The sequence below is a fragment of the Homo sapiens genome, chromosome 8 (assembly GCF_000001405.40).
Source record: "Homo sapiens chromosome 8, GRCh38.p14 Primary Assembly".
NCBI classification, from domain to species: domain Eukaryota; kingdom Metazoa; phylum Chordata; class Mammalia; order Primates; family Hominidae; genus Homo; species Homo sapiens.
This window is the reverse complement of record NC_000008.11, coordinates 66,927,542-66,944,876: the sequence shown is the minus strand read 5'-3', so window position 1 is coordinate 66,944,876 and position 17,335 is coordinate 66,927,542. Positions and strand designations below refer to the sequence as shown.

At 43.0% G+C, this 17,335-nt stretch overlaps 1 annotated feature.

Annotated features, from left to right (window-relative positions):
* Positions 3,680-4,181: an enhancer, noted in NCBI's record as "H3K4me1 hESC enhancer chr8:67852931-67853432 (GRCh37/hg19 assembly coordinates)". NCBI's record gives its function as "activates a minimal SCP1, AML or CMV promoter by ChIP-STARR-seq in naive H9 embryonic stem cells {active_cell/tissue: H9 hESC(naive)}" and the evidence as "EXISTENCE:reporter gene assay evidence [ECO:0000049][PMID:30033119]".

Here is a 17,335-nt window from a genome sequence, read left to right as displayed (position 1 = left end):
TGAACCATAATCATGCCACTGCACTCCAGCCTATTATGGCTGGAGGATGTGATTGATTACCTAATTTCCCAGATGATGTAAGACACACTATAGTATTGCTGTTTTTCTCTGATACATGCACTTTTGATTTTTTCATTTTGTTTTTGTTACTGTCATTTTAAAAGAACTCAAAAGCTAAGATTGTAAAATTTTAAAAGCACTAGGAAAATACTGTAAAGTTGTGTATCTCAAAGATAATATGTACTTTTGTTATGTGATGCTAGCTGGTGGTCTTATATGCAGCTGTTGTACTGAAAAATAAATGTCGCTTAAATCCTGTAGATTTGCTGCCTATAGACTCTGAGCACTGCACAGATGGCACTGCAGCACAGTTGGGAATGAGGGACATTAAGTATTCTTACCTAACTACATAAACCTGGGAAAGATTTCCCTTTTTATGTTTATACAAGTCTTAATTTCAACTCATAAGACAAACCAGCTCAGTGAAATATACCTCAATCACTCAAATGCTTTCATTATAAATTATACCTTAGCATTTTAGCTGTCATAAGGTTTTAAATAATAAACTGAAGAATAATCCTAACTATTAAAGATTATGTCAGTAGTCATTTCTTGTGCATATGAATGTTACTAAAGAATCTCATGCATTCCTTCCCTCCCAGGGCCAAGAAGTATGTCCCAGGGATGAACTTCAATCACTCATCTTCAGTTTTTTTAGCCATTAGAAACTGGGGGCCATTTCAAGCAATGTGATGTCTAAAGAAAAATTTATTTTAACCATTTTTATTTTCAGATAGACTCTGAAATCACTAACTTAAAAATGTTAAATGTTTGCTATTATAAGGTTTCTTAATTCCATTTTTGTTTTTTTGAGACAGAGTTCCCTCTGTTGCCCAGGCTGGAGTGCAGTGGCACCATCTTGGCTCATTGCAACCTCTGCCTCCCGGGGTCAAGCAATTCTTTTGCTTCAGCCTCCTGAGTGGCTGGGACTACAGGCACCTGCCACCATACCCAGCTAATTTTTGTGTTTTTAGTAGAGATAGGGTTTCACCATGTTGGCCAGACTGGTCTCGAACTCCTGACCTCAAGTGATCTGCTCACCTCAGCCTCCCAAAGTGCTGGGATTACAGGCGTGAACCACTGCACCTGGCCAAAGTAGCTTAATTGTTTATGTAGATGGATATATGATGTGGAACAAAAAATTTTTTAAGGCCAGGTGCAGTGGCTCATGCCTGTAATCCCAGCACTTTGGGAGGCTGAGATGGAAGGATCACTTGAGCCCAGGAGTTCAAGACCAGCCTGGACAATGTAGTGAGAACCCGTCTTTACAAAAAAATTAAAAAATTAGCCAGGCATGGTGGCGTGTGCCTGTGGTCCCAGCTACTCAGGAGATTAAAGTAGGAGGATTGCTTGAGCCCAGGAGGTGGAGGCTGCAGTGAGCCATCATTGTGGCACTGCACTCCAGCCTAGGAGACAGTAAGACCCTGTCTCAGGAAAAAAAAAAAAAAAAATTTTAATTAAGCTGTATTTTTAAAAAGTAGGCCTGTGCAAGAGTGTCCCTACTCTGTGTGTAGAACATCTGTACCACCTTGCGGCCATAAGACCCTGTACCAGAGTCATCTTGAAACATGGGCTACAATCAAGTAAAAATAATGGTATGCAATGGCAGAGGCAGGCGAGTCAAGAGAGGAGGAAAGGTGTGAAGCTATTTTCAGATCCCCCATTTAGAAAGAAGAGGCCAGTTCCACCAGTGTCCAGTCCTGCTATAGTGTGTGGTTATAGGGACACACAGGAGAGACTGCCTCAAAGAGGAGACCTGACTTTAGAACCAGACCAGAACAACTAAAGCTGCCAGTGCTGAGCCACACTCGGTCTGAGAGATCCAGAGAGCAGCCACACCTGGTGTAATGAAGACTGGGCCCAGGTGGTCTTGTTTTCCTCTCCAGCCAGCCAGTGCCAGAGACTGGACACTGGACAATGTCTAGGGTGATGGTGGTAGTGGAGATGGCTTAACAGAAGACAGAAAACTTGCCATAAGCAATGACTACTGGTCTCTCCTCTTCCCCTAACCTATGTGAGCCCACCCAGACTTGTGGCTACTCTAGGGATACACACTTTGCTTACATTAGCACATTCCTTTTCTTTGTTGACAGGAAATAGAGCTTCTTGCAGGAATGGACAGTATGGTTCAGTGGTGGGAGGTAAGAGCTTATTTTTCTTTCTTTTTTTTTTTTTTTTGAGAACGGAGTCTCGCTCTGTTGCCCAGGCTGGAGTGCAGTGGCTCGATCTCGGCTCACTGCAAGCTCTGCCTCCCGGGTTCATGCCATTCTCCTGCCTCAGCCTCCCATTATTTTTCAAGATAGAGGTTTAATCAAACTTGAGGAAGGGGGAAAGGGGAGGTAAGAAGAGGTTGAAGAAGAAATAGATCGTACCAAAAGACTTAGCTTCTACTTCTTAATAGGCGATGAGTTGGGGACTTTTTTTTTTTTTTTTTTTTTTTTTTTTTTGAGAAACAGTTTTACTCTTGTCACCCAGGCTGAAGTGCAGTGGCACAATCTGGACTCACTGCAACCTCTGCCTCCCAGGTTAAAGTGATTCTCCTGCCTCAGCCTCCTGAGTACTGGGATTACAGGCTCGCACCACCAAACCTGGCTAATTTTTGTATTATTAGTAGAGACGGGGTTTCACCATGTTGGCCAGGCTGGTCTCAAACTCCTGACCTCAAGTGATCCACATACTTCGACCTCCCAAAGTGCTGGAATTACAGGCGTGAGCCACCGCACCCAGCTGAGTTAGGGACTCTCACATTAGTAAATATCCTTAGGGCATGCAGCAGTTTAGAGGAGGGAGGAGATAATATATTTTTCATTACTAAACTGATCTGTGGCCCTCAGCCTCCCTAACTCATTGACTTAAGGCCCTCTTGGTTAAGGGCAGATTCCTCCTAGAATGAAGTCACTGTACGCCTCTGTACGCCTTTGAAAATGCAAAAATAGACTGGGCGCAGTGGTTCGTGCCTGTAATCCCAGTACTTTGGGAGGCCGCGGTGGGTGGATCTCCTGAGGTCAGGAGTTCGAAACCAGCTTGGCCAACATGGTGAAACCCCATCTCTACTAGAAATACAAAAATTAGCTGGGCGTGGTGGCAGGCGCCTATAATCCCAGCTACTTGGGAAGCTGAGGCTGGAGAATCGCTTGAACCCAGGAGGTGGAGATTGCAGTGAGTGGAGATAGCACCATTGCCCTCCAGCCTGGGTGATGAGAGCAAAACTGTCTCAAAAAAAAAGAAAATGCAAAAATAACTTTGAGAGTCCCTAGCAAGCAAGATAATAGACTTAAATTTCAGACTTTATGAAGAGAGAAAATGGAATTTTAAGTTCCAAAAGCTGCCCTCTATGTATAAGCGCCAAGATTGGAGGTCTATAAATGGAGTTTTACTAAAGGTGCTAACAGGGAAGGGAGGCCAAGGCACTGAGAGGTAGTGGAGGTGTCAACCTCCACTGGTGTCCATCTTGAGAAAAATAGGGAAGTGTGGGGTAGTGAAAAATTGGAGACAAGGGCTGACCTTGCCACAGTTCTCTAGACAAAGCCCAACAAAGCCCTAGATTCTGCCCAGAGCCACACCCTGGGCAGGCAAGATGAGCAATGGCTGAGGGAGGGTCCTGAGGGCAGCCCCACACCGCAGGCTGCCACAGGTCACAAGCTGCTGAGAGTACTCAGGCCAGGATGCCAGGACACAGGAGGCCGCAGAGTACAGGGCCCCCAAAAGGGGACATTGTAAGCAGGATGCAGGATCTCAGCAGTGGATGCCAGCATGACCCTGAGGGACCAGGTAGTGACAGACACACTATGTCAGAGTGCAGTCTAGACCCAGAGGACAGACAGCATGGGAGCCTGCAGTCCCTCCCTCCATGTCCTTTTGATTCACAACTGCTCCCTGAAGCCATCTAGGGATGAATGGAGAAGGACAGGCAGGAAGCCCATTGAGTGTAAACAGCACTGATAGAGCTTCAACTTTTACTTGGCTGAATATTTAATGAACAGAGACTAACATCAAAAGGGATCTGTTTGGCAGTTTTCCTCTTCAGGAGTGAGGATTCTAGAACAAGATGAGGTTGGATACAGGACATAAAGCTACGTTATTTTCCTCACATTCCAGTCATGGTATGGACATTTTAACCCAATTATACAGTAGAGATGGACTATCTGCATCAACAGTTTACACCTAATTGCTCAGTATTCCAACTTATTTGACCTTATAGTTTAGAACACACCAAAATGACTGTGTTGGTACTGAGGACCTTCCTGGACCTTTGCAAATGGATTAGGAAAGAGTCTTGAGAAACTTGCCCAGCGTTGTCCAGCTAATCAGAGGCCAGATTCAGGCCCAGACAGTATGGCTCCGAGAGCCTGGTTCCTGTCCTAGACTACCTACTCCGTTAGTGCCTGGATGCTTAAAGCACTTGAGTTTGCACCCCTAGTTTGGTTGGAAAACACTGTCCTTTGCTGCAGGTCTCTCACTGTGGTAAGCACTTGGTATAGGGTTTGTTCTCAATACATTTCCCTTGCCTTTTGCCCTCTTCCCCTTAGCTCACAAAGTTGATATGAAATAATAGCTGAGAAAGTGCATGTAGGCAGCTCAGTGCAAGCTAGGTGTGTCTTCCCTGGCTCATTAGCTCCATTTGATGAAGAGTTAAACATGTAAGGTGAAGCGTGACACAAAAACCCGCAAGCTGCCTTAAAGGGAAAGATGGCTAATTTTGACTACATAAAAATAAATTCACAAAACAAAAGACAAGGTCAAAAGACAAAACACAAGCCAGAGGAAAAAAATCACAACACATGATAAAGCAGTAAATCTCTTTACATAAAATCAGTTCTCAGATTTCAAAAAAGCAAAACACCAACAACTTAGTGGAAACTTGCACAAATGGGAGCAAAGACCGAGCCCCTGCACTCCAGCCTAGGCAACAGAGCGAGACTCTGTCCCCCTACCCCCACAAAAAAAAATAAAAAAGAGAAACTTCCACAAATGGTAACAAACAGCAGTTCATAGAAAGAAACCAAACAGGGCCGGGCACGGTGGCTCACGCCTGTAATCCCAGCACTTTGGGAGGCTGAGGTGGGCGGATCACTTGAGGTCAGGAGTTCGTGACCAGCCTGGCCAACATGGTGAAACCCCGTCGCTACTAATAATACAAAAATTAGCCATGCATGGTGGCAGGCTTCTGTAATCCCAGCTACTCAGCAGGCTGAGGCAGGAGAATCACTTGAACCCACGAGGTGGAGGTTGCAGTGAGCCGAGATTGTCCCGCTGCGCTCCAGCCTGGGCAATAGAATGAGAATCTGTTTCAGGAAAAAAAAAAAAAAGAAACCAGCCAATATATTTATGAAAAGATACACAAGTTCAGGCATAATTAAGAAACACACATTTAGAAAGCAATGGAAGAACATATTTCACCTGTCAATGATACAAAAAATACTCATCATTAGTGAAGGTGAGGAAATGAGGACTTTTGTACTGTTGGAAGCATAACCTCTTTTAAATGTAATTTGACAGTATCTCCCACTATTATAAGTATACACACTCTGACTTAGCAATGCCATGTTAAAAAATTTCCCTACCAGGCCGAGTGCAGTGGCTCACACCTGTAATCCCAGAACTTTGGGAAACAAGGCGGGTGGATCATGAGGTCAGGAATTCGAAACAAGCCTGGCCAAGATGGTGAAACCCCGTCTCTACTAAAAACACAAAAATTAGCCAGGCGTGGTGGCATGTGCCTGTAATTTCAGCTACTCAAGAGGCTGAGGCAGGAGAATCGCTTGAACCTGGGAGGCGGAGGTTGCAGTAAGCCAAGATTGAGGCACTGCACTCCAGCCTGGGCGGTGGAGCAAGACTCCCTCTCAAAAAACAAAAAACAAACAAAAATCCCTATTGATATACTTACATTTGTAAATGTATGTAAGAATAATTATTGCAGGTATTCATCATTTTTACCTTATAATTTGTAGCCTTGACAGTTTCCCCAGCCTTCAGTATTGGCTGCACCCAAGTAACCTATCAAAAAATGCAAACCTGAAGATATAACATACTTGCTCAAATCCCTTCAGTGGTATCCCATGATCTAAGGATGAAGTCTAACCCCTTAACTTGATTTATGAACCCTCTTCCTATGTCACTGCCCTCCACCACTTCCTATTTTACATTTTAGTTATTAGTAAACACATGTGCACACACACACACAGCTATTTCACGCTTCAGTGCCTTTGTTCATCAATCATCAGTTGGTCCACAAATTTTTTTATTTTTTTATTTTATTTATTTATTTTTTGAGATAGAGTCTCACTCTGTCGCCCAGGCTGGAGTGCAGTGGCTCGATCTCGGCTCACTGCAAGCTCTGCCTCCCGGGTTCACGCCATTCTCCTGCCTCAGCCTCCCGAGTAGCTGGGACTATAGGCGCCCGCCACCACGCCCGGCTAATTTTTTGTATTTTTAGTAGAGACGGGGTTTCACCGTGTTAGCCAGGATGGTCTCGATCTCCTGACCTCGTGATCCACCCGCCTCGTCCTCCCAAAGTGCTGGGATTACAGGCGTGAGCCACCATGCCTGGCCCACAAATGTTTTTTTAATGCTACGGCAGGCATTGTTCATTGCTTACTAGATTAGTTAGGAATTGCATTCAGCTGCTAATAAGAAAGACCCAACTATAGTGGCTTTAGTAAATTAAAAATTTATTCTCTAAAAGAAATCCAGGCCGGGTGCTGGGGTCTCACGCCTGTAATCCCAGCACTTTGGGAGGCTGAGGCGGGCAGATCACGAGGTCAGGAGTTCAAGACCAGCCTGGCCAACACAGTGAAACTCCATCTCTACTAAAAATACAAAAAAAAATTAGCCGGGCTTGGTGGGCGCCTATAGTCCCAGCTACTTGGGAGGCTGAGACAGGAGAATCGCTTGAACCAGGGAGGCAGAGATTGCAGTGAGCTGAGATGGCCCACTGCACTCCAGCCTGGGTGACAGAGTGAGACTCTGTCTCAAAAAAAAAGAAAAAGGAAAAAAAGAAAGCAAAGAAAAGAAATCCATAAGTAGGCAGTCCAGGACTGGTAAGGTGGCTTAGTGTAATCAAAGCTTCCACTTACTTTTTTTTTTTTTTTTTTTGGCGACAGAGTCTCGCTCTGTCGCCCAGGCTGGAGTGCAGTGGGTGATCTCAGCTCACTGCAAGCTCTGCCTCCCGGGTTCACACCATTCTCCTGCCTCAGCCTCTCAAGTAGCTGGGACTACAGGTGCCCACCACCACACCTGGCTAAGTTTTTGTATTTTTAGTAGAGACAGGGTTTCACCATGTTAGCCAGGATGGTCTTGATCTCCTGACCTTGTGATCCACCTGCCTCCACCTCCCAAAGTGCTGGGATTACAGGCGTGAGCCACTGCGCCTGGCTGCTTCCACTTATTTTTTATCGGCCAGAACTGGGTCATAAAGTCACCTCCATGTGTAAGGAAGGTATATCAGTTTGAGTTTGGCTGCAGTATCTGCTTTAGCTAGTTTAAAAAGAAAGGGGCTTACCAGGGTGATGAGGCTGAGCGAGCTGTGATTGAGCCACCACACCAGCCTGGGTGACAGAGCAAGACCCTGTCTCAAAAAAAAAAAAAAAAGAAAAAAGAAAAGAAAAGGAGAGAGAGAAAGAAAGGAAGGAAGCAAGGAAGGGAGGGAGGGAGGGAGGGAAAAGAAAGGGAGAGAAAGAAAGAGAGAGAGAAAGAGGGAGAGGAGAGGGGAGGGGAGGAGAGGAGAGGAAGGAAGCTTATAGGTTATTAGTGACTTACAGAATCATGAGATGAAACTAACCTGGGCTGGATTTATAGTAACAATTTCTAAATCCATTCCATGGAACTGGGCTGCCAAGGTAGCTGATACTTCTGCCATGATCTGAACTCTGCTTGCCAAACAGGAAGCTGCCTTACAGTGGCTGACTCCAGAAGCATGCTGCCCTTGCTAGACATACATGATGGTTAATTTTTTGCGTCATATTGATTGGGCCAAGGGACGCTCAGATCACTGGTTAAACACTATTTCTGGATGCTATGGACCGAATGTGAGAGAGGCTGAAACAGGAGGCTCAAACTGTTGAGCCCAGGAGTTTGAATCCAGCCTGGGCAACAAAGTGAGAACCCATCTCTAAACACAAAACAAAACAAAACAAAACAAAAAGTGTCTGCCAGGGGCAACTAACTCAGTTGTAAGAGATCAAGGAAGGCAAAGAGGGATGAAAAGAACCTTCTAGGCTGGGCACAGTGGCTCACGCCTGTAATCTCAGCACTTTGGGAGGCCGAGGTGGGTGGATCACCTGAGGTCAGGAGTTCGAGACCAGCCTGGCCAACATGGTGAAATCCCGTCTCTACTAAAAATATAAAAACTAGCTGGGCGTGGTGGTGGGCGCCTGTAATCCCAGCTACTCAGGAGGCTGAGGCAGGAGAATTGCTTGAACCCAGGAGACGGAGGTTGCAGTGAGCTGACACGGTGCCACTGCACTCTAGCCTTAGCGACAGAGTGAGACTTGTCTCAAAAAAAAAAAAAAAAAAAAAAAGAAAGGAAAAGAAACCTCTAGACTGAGGAAAAAGCAGGCAAGTAAAACATGATACTTCGAAGGAAAGTGCATTGAGGAGGGGGGTGGATTCTTCATATATATTATTTCATTTAACCCACAAAATCCTCGGAATAAGTACTGTATTACTTCCAATTTTCAAATCAACGAGGACCTTGAAAGGCATGTTAAAGGATTTGGACGTAAGGGTTACCAGAAATCTTCTATAGAAATGCTGAGGTGTTGGGTGCTGGGGAGCTCCTGGGAAGCACAGACTTCCCAAGAACATGAAACTCCATAAACCTACTAAAAAACAAAACAGACCAGGAGAAGTTATTTGCAATGTATATCTGTTAATTGATAAAAGATCAGTATCAGGCCAGGCGCAGTGGCTCATGCCTGTAATTCCAGCACTTTGGGAGGCCGAGGCAGGTGGATCACTTGAGGTCAGGAGTTCGAGACCAGCCTGGCCAACATGGTGAAACCCTGTCTCTACTAATAATACAAAAATAAGCCGGGCTTGGGGGTGGGGGCGTGTTATCCCAGCTACTGGGGAGGCTGAGGCATGAGAATCGCTGAATCGTTTAAACCCAGGAGGTGCAGGTTGCAATGAGCCGAGATCGCACCACTGCATTCCAGCCTGGGTGACAGAGTGAGACTCCATAAAAACAAAAAGAAAGAAAGAAAGAGAAAAGATTAGAATCCCATACATCAATTTTTAAAAATACAAAAACATGATACTTTGCCGGGCATGGTAGCTCACTTTGTGCAAAGGGTCTCACTTTGTGCAGTGGCACTATCATGGCTCACTGCAGCCTCGACCTCCTGGGCCCAGGCGATCCTCTGTCTTCAGCCTACCGAGTAGCTGGAATTATAGGTCTCAACATCTTAGCACATGTATCTGAGTTGTTTTCAGAAACCTGGACCCCCACCAGGTGGATCTGCTGGCATGTAGACCTCAGATGCGGGGGAACTAAGGACTGAAATCTGACCTCCGTTCTTTGTTCTAAATTTCTTCCTGAGGGGTCTGGAAGAAGTCATGCCCACGGGCCAGACTGTAACTTCCTTTCTGGTGACCCCAAGTTTTTAGACAAAACTTCACTTACTTAACCCACCACAAACAAATCAGGGAGTGTTTGAATCCACCTATCGTCTCTAAGCACCTCTGCTCCAAGATACCCCACCTTGGCGAGGGGGAGGGTGGGGGGGGGGGTTGGTGGGGTGGAGGCCCTAGATAAGGTATAGCAGCTAGCCAGAGAGTAAAGGCTTATCCACATGAGAAAATGTTCTTTGTTTGAAGAACTACAAGATTTATAGATGATGGTTGTTGCAAAATGGAAGATAGTCATTCATTTTCTTTAAACAGGGCCTTGCTGTTTTTGTGTCCTGTGTGGTTATCAAGGGGGTAGGGAGCCCATGTCCATGTGTAACCTCACCAGTGGACCAAAGTTTCCAGGTTCCTGGGAGAGGGCTCATACACACAGAAGGATGACACTCTCTAAAAGGTGACTTTTGTCTTTTGGGGCACAGGAATCTCTGACATATATGTATGTAACACACAAGAACATGTATGTAAATACACACACACGTGAAGGATATTCAAATCAGTTTTCTACCTGGCTGCAATTGCAACATTATGCCCTCTAGTTAACTGTTCCTTCCAGTTAATATCTTCCTTGTCGATCATTATTTTTTTCCCCTGGAGACTTTTGAGAACAGCATACTTATTGTCCCTTAAAAATGAGATGGTGGCCAGGCACGTGGCTCAAGCCAGTAATCCCAACACTTTGGGAGGCCAAGGTGGGCAGATCATGAGGTCAGGAATTCGAAACCAACCTGGCCAACACAGTGAAACCCCGCCTCTACTAAAAATAGAAAAATTAGCCGGCCGTGGTGGCACAACCCTGTAGTCCCAGCTACTCGGGAGGCTGAGGCAGGAGAATTGCTTGAACCCGGGAGGTGGAGGTTGCAGTGAGCCGAGATTGTGCCACTGCACTGCACTCCAGCCTGGGCGACAGAGCGAGACTCCGTCTCAAAAAAAAAAAAAAAAAAAAAAAAGTGAAGCCGGTAAAATTTCAGAAAAGGGTTGCTGATTCCTTATAGTAATTTGTTGAAAGCTTTAATGGGATGTTAATTTCAGGACATAATTTATATTATATTATCGCTGAGGTGTGAATAACATAATTTAACCTTAGTTTGAATGTTTCAATTACTTCCACATTCTGGACTCTCTGTGTAATCATTCTTGAATACTTTTTTAAGAGTTAAAAAAAATTATTATTTTACGTAACAAGAAGCCTACGCTGGAGTGGCTCCCTGGCTAGTTCATTCTATTTAATTTGGTGACTATTAGATGTCTTTATGTTGCTGGGCTCCTTCTCTTTTCCACTTTGCCATCTCAGATAAACTCCCCTCATTTAACAAGACATTTGCAGCAGGGCCAGGTGTTCTTTCAGTGTCTAGATGAGAATATTAATGGGAAGAAGAGGCATTTCTTCCCATATGTGTCTCTTCATCACAGAAGAAAACCTTCCCTCAAGTTCCCTAGCAGACTTCCCATCAGGTCTCATTGGCCAGCTTGAATAATTTTAAAACATTCCTTTGCATTCAGAATTTGTAGTATTTAAGTAGTTATTTGCAAAGTTTATTCATAACGTAAAATTTAGATGTTTAAACAGAAAAGGAAAACACTAGTGTCTCACATTGACAATTAAAGCCACTGTGGCTACCTCATTATTTTGGATCCTGGCAGAAATCATAAGTATAAGTAATTTAGTTAATTTTCACCAAAATTATCTCAGTAAAGTTCATATATTTCAAGTTTTAAGAATCAATTTTCATTTAGATCAGTGCCCTAGTTTCTGACAATTTAATGTATTTTTCCACAGATTTGGAACTTTAACCTTGACGAGAGGTATAAATACTATGATTATCTCAATGTCAATATTATGTTTAAAAATAATTCTGCTTGAGGTAAAAGAATCTTATATAGAAAAGTCATGCATTTATGACTAGGGTCATTTACATTTCTCTTGGATTAACTCTATTTTGACATGCTTACTATTGAGCAAGGAAAAGCACAAGGATGTGGTTATTACAGCCAACTTCCTACCAGTTCCAACCCCATCTTCTGCTGCAAACATCTAGGGGACATGGGAGGCTCTCTAAATCATTCACTAATATGAAAAAGGGCCGAGGGCCAAATGTATTAAATTACTAATGAGATTCACATATGTAAGTGCAGACTATAGATTATGACAGCCCATAAAAAATAATACCCTATATGTCCCTGAATCGACATGTATGTCTATCTACAAAACGTAAACTTCCTAAGGTAATCATGATTATATTATCAAAGAAGCGCTATTTTTTAAAAGTTACTTTTGATAAACTAACTATATCACATTTAAACCATGAAACTTTCCCCTTGAAGTGGTTTTAGTTGTATTTGCAATTGTCAGCATTAGCTCAGTTCAGCAACTTAGAGACCAGCGACCCCCAGGGAGGCACTCATTGCTGGAAAATGCTGAACCCTTTTTATAATGCCACTCAGGATGAAGAAATAATGGACTGATGGGGCAAATCTTAGAAATGGTCTATTTTTGCACCCTGCAGAGAAAATGTACTACTTTAATAGTATTTTTCAATTTAATTTAATTACAAAATCAATACATATGCATAATAAAAATCCAAATAGGAAAGAATGATATAATAAAAAATAAAAAGATCACTCTCCCCACAAACCCAAGTTTCACTCCTAGAGGCATTAATTATAAAATTACAAACAGGTTATTTTTTGTTTTCTTGTTTGTTTGAGACAGAGTATTGGTCTGTCATCCAGACTGGAGTACAGTGGTGCGATCTCAGCTCACTGCATCCTCCACCTCCTGGGCTCAAGTGATTCTCGTGCCTCAGCCTCCCAAGTAGCTGGGACTACAGGCACGTGCCATCACACCTGGCTAATTTTTTTGTATTTCTTTTGTAGAGACAGGGTTTCACAATGTTGCCCAGGCTGGTCTGGAACTCCTAGGCTTGAGCAATCCACCGGCCTTGGCCTCCAAAAGTGTTGGGATTACAGGTGGGAGCCACCATGCCCAGCCACAAACAGGTGCTTTTGTAGTCTCTTAAAGAAAAGTCCTATGCATTAACAATCATATATATGCTTCTTTTTTCTTTTTCTTTTCTTTTTTTTTTTTTTGTGAGACAGGGTCTCACTCTGTCACCAAGGCTGGAGTGCAGTGGTGAGATCAGATTCACTGCAGCCTCGATGTTCTGGGTTCAAGCTATCCTCCCACCTCAGACTCTATGTAGCTGCAACTATACCACCAGGCACGTACCACCACACCCAGATAATTTTTTTATTTTTTGTAGATACCGGGTCTCCTTATGTGGCTCAGCTGGTCTTGAACTCCTAGGCTCAAGTGATCCTCCCTCCCGCCCTGCATTTTTTAAATCTAACCAAAAATGTAGTCTTTCCAAATACCTTCTGCACCTAGCTTTAAAATTTTTAAATATCTTGAAAATTTTTCCAAATCAGCACATATGTGTGATTCATTTATTTATTCATTCAACAAATATTTATTAAGTGCTAGGGACTGTATTAGGTGCCAGGAATAAAAAGGTGAATAAGACAAGAACTTTCCTCTTACAGGATTTATATGCAGTGAGGGTGTAAAAGTATGTAAGTAAATAAATAAGAAAATTGCAGATTATGCTAAGTGTTTTTTTTTTTTGACAGAGTTTCACTCTTGTTGCCCAGGCTGGAGTGCAATGGTTCAAGAAATTCTCCTGCCTCAGCCTCCCGAGTAGCTGGAATTACAGGCATGCGCCACCACGCCTGGCTAAATTTTTGTATTTTTAGTAGAGACAAGGTTTCTCCATGTTGATCAGGCTGATCTCGAACTCCCGACCTCAGGTGATCCGCCCGCCTCGGCCTCCCAAAGTGCTGGGATTACAGGCGTGAGCTACCGCGCCCGGCCTATGCTAAGTGTTAATGAAGGAAATTAAAAGGGAGATGTGTTGGAGTTGGCCCACTTTAGACAGGTAGGGGAAATGTGGCCTCTCTGAGAAGTTGACATTAAAATTGAGATTAAAAAAAGGAAAGAAGTCAGCCACTCAAAAATCTGGGACAAGAGAATTCCAGGCAACAGTAAAGGCCTTAGGATGTGAAAATTATTTGACATGTTCCAAGAACTAAGAGTAGGCCATGGTGACTGGAGCATCACCAGAAAGGAGAAGCAGAAAATGAGATAAGCCATGTGAAGATAGGTGGATTTTTTTCCTTTTTAAAATGTCTTTTTAAAAATTATTTATTGTAGGCCAGATGTGGTGGCTCACGCCTGTAATTCCAGCACTTTGGGAGGCTGAGGTGGGTCAGGAGTCTGAGACCAGCCTGGCCAACATGGTGAAATCCTGTCTCTACTAAAAATACAAAAATTAGCCAGGCAGTGGTGGCAGGCACCTGTAATCCTGGCCACTTGGGAGGCTGAGGCAGGAGAATCGCTTGAATCCAGGAGGTGGAGCTTGCAGTGAGCTGAGATCACACCACTGCACTCTAGCCTGGGCGACAGAGTGAGACTCCATCTCAAAAAAAAAAAAAAATTGCTTATTGTAGTAAAATACATGTAACAAAATTTACTATCTTAACCAATTTTAAGTGTATGGTTCAGTGTTATTAAATACATACCATCCACAGATTAGGAGAAAATATTTGGAATATATGAAGAACAAAAATTACAATTTGTTTTGCTAGGCTTAGATATTCATGCTCTATGTTACTTAAGGCAAATTGAAATTTTGTACTGGATTTTGTATTTGTTTCTTAGATTTCCAGTTTTTAAAGGAGAGATTGGCCAGGTGCTGTGGCTGATGCCTGTAATCCCAGCACTTTGGGAAGCAAGGCAAGAGGATCGCTTAAGGCCGGGAGTTGGAGACTAGCCTGGCCACTCTCTTGTCAGTATCCCTTGATGCACAAAATTTTTTAATTTGATGAAGTACAATTTATTTTTCCTTTTGTTGCCTGTGCTTTCGGTGTTATAGCCAAAAAATCACTGCCAGATCCAGTGTCATGAAGATTGTCCCCCATGTTTTCTTGTAGAATTTTATAGTTTTAACTCCTAAATTTAGGTCTTTGATTCATTTTGAGTTTTTTTAAAATATAATATCGGATAAAGGTCCAACTTCTTTATTTTATTTTGTTTTATTTTTTTGCATTGGATATCCAGTTTTCCCAGCACCATTTGTTGGAAAGTCTGTCCTTTCCACATAGATGGTACTGGCACCCATGCCAAAAATCAATTGGCCATACACACAAGTGAATATTTTAAAAGTACAATGGGAAATGATGGACACTAGTAATCAAGGCTTCTAGGCAACTCTGAGTCTCTAGATTAACTTTCTTAAGCCCTTTTGGAGATGATAGACTCGAAAGGGAAAAGGGAGTTCTAAATTCCAAAAATCCCTTTACTAACAGCAAAACATAAAGTAGTGAACATTAAACTTTGCATTTTTCCAACAAGAAACTATAGGAAAAAAAGTTTTGCATAGGAAGAGGAGACTCAAGAAATGAACTCAAAGAAGAGAGGAAGTCAAGGAAGTCTTCAATAGAGACGAAAAAATACAAAGGCTTCAACAGAAAAAGAGAGAGAGGAAGAGGAAGAGGAGAAGGAAGAGAGGAGAAGGAGGAAGAGGAAGAAGAGGAGGAGGAGGAAGTGGAGGAGGAGGAAGAAGAAGAGGAGGAGGAAGAAGAGGAGGAGGAGAAGAGGAAGAGGAAGAAGACAGGGGCCTGGTGTAGTGGCTCACATCTGTAATCCCAGCATTTCGGGAGGCCAAGGCAGGCGGATCACTTGAGGCAAGGAGTTTGAGCCCAGCCTGGACAACATGGTGAAACCCCATGTCTACTAAAAATACAAAAATTAGCCAGGCTTCATGGCAGGCGCCTGTAGTCCCAGCTACTCGGGAGGCTGAGGCAGGAGAATTGCTTAAACCCAGGAGGCAGAGGTTGCAGTGAGCTGAGATCCTGCCACTGCACTCCAGCCTGGGCAACAGTGCGAGACTCTGTCTCAAAAAACAAACAAACAAACAAAAAACAGAAAAAAAAATTGTGGTATACTCAGATAAGGGAATACCATTCAGCAATAAAAAGGAATTAACTATTGTAACACACAACCACATGGATGAATCTCAAAATAATTATGCTGAGTGAAAGCAGCCAGACCAAAACACAGTGCATACTGGCCCATCAAATTGTATAGATTAAATATGTGCAGTTTTTTGTATGTCAATAATACCTCAATAACACTGTAAATAAAGTATATTCTGAATGATTTCATTTAAACTAGTTATAGAAAAAGCAAATTGATCTATAGTGACAGAAAACAAATCAGTGGTTCCCTGGTGCAGTTGAGGGGAGTGATGTGAGGGTGACTTTTGGATTAGGGAATGAAGAAATGTTTAGGGATGATGAATATGCTGATTATTTTGAATGTGGTGATGGTTTCACAGGTGATGGTTTCACATATGTCAAAACTTATCTGATTTTTCATTTTCAATATGTGCAGTTTTTGTATGTCAATAAAGCTATGCTAAAGAAAAGCTATTTTTGCTTTTGTAACAGAAGTGGAACTGGAAATCTGTACCCATTCTTTGTCAGAATTCCTCTATCTTTCATCATATCCTTGTAATCTTCTCTCACTTTGAATAGTAATGAGAACTGAGCTCATGGATTCACAGCAATACGCTCACACTTTAAAGTTTCCCCTGTGTGCAGGCACTATTAGCAGCCCACCAAACAGGCGTCTCCCTTCCCTTTCTGTCAGAGTCCACTTTCCCATATTATAAGCTGATAATGCCTGGACTTGTAACCCAATCAAGGCCAGTGAGACCTGAAAACAAGTCTACTGTGGGCATTCTGGGGAAGATTTTCCAACCTGGTTAAAAGAGAAACATGTGAAATGTCCCTCCTTCCCACCTTTGAATGTTGTTATATGAAGACATAGCTGGGTGCAGTGACTCACGCCTGTAACCCAGCACTTTGGGAGGCCAGGGCAGGTGGATCACTTGAGGTCAGGAGTTCGAGACCAGCCTGGTCAACATGATAAAACCCCATCTCTACTAAAAATACAAAAATTAGCTGGGTGTGGCGGGAGGCACCTGTAATCCCAGCTACTCTGGAGGCTGAGGCAGGAGAATAGCTTGAACCCAGGAGGTAGAGGTTGCAGTGAGCCAAGATCCTGCCACTGCACGCCAGCCTGGGCAACAGAGCAAGACTGTCTCAAAAAAAAAAAAAAAAAGAAAAAAGATATGATGTTTACAGCTATGGGAGGCTTTTTGCAACTATGAAGGGAAAACCAAGAATCTCAGAGAATTCAACCAGCAACCCTGACAGTGTTTTCCTGCTAAATCAATCAACCCGAGAGCCATCTACCTCTGGATTTCTTGTAATATAGAATAATATACTCCTCATTTTCCAGAAGCTACTTTAGTTGCATATTTTGTTACTTGCAGTTGAAAACATACATTTAATGACATTATTAATTAAAGTAACTGACATAAGATGATAACCTGAAATGGGTGGCTGCACAGTTTTGGCAACATCTAAATTTTAGTCAAGATATTTAATTATATCCTTTCTGAAGAAAGAACATAGTAAGTCAATAAGGCAGTGGCCCCTTCCTAATCTGTCCACCCGGCTCAGCTATTTCTTCCCAGTAGAGGTCAATGAATGCCCTGTGAATGCCTGCAGGAGACAACACAAAGCT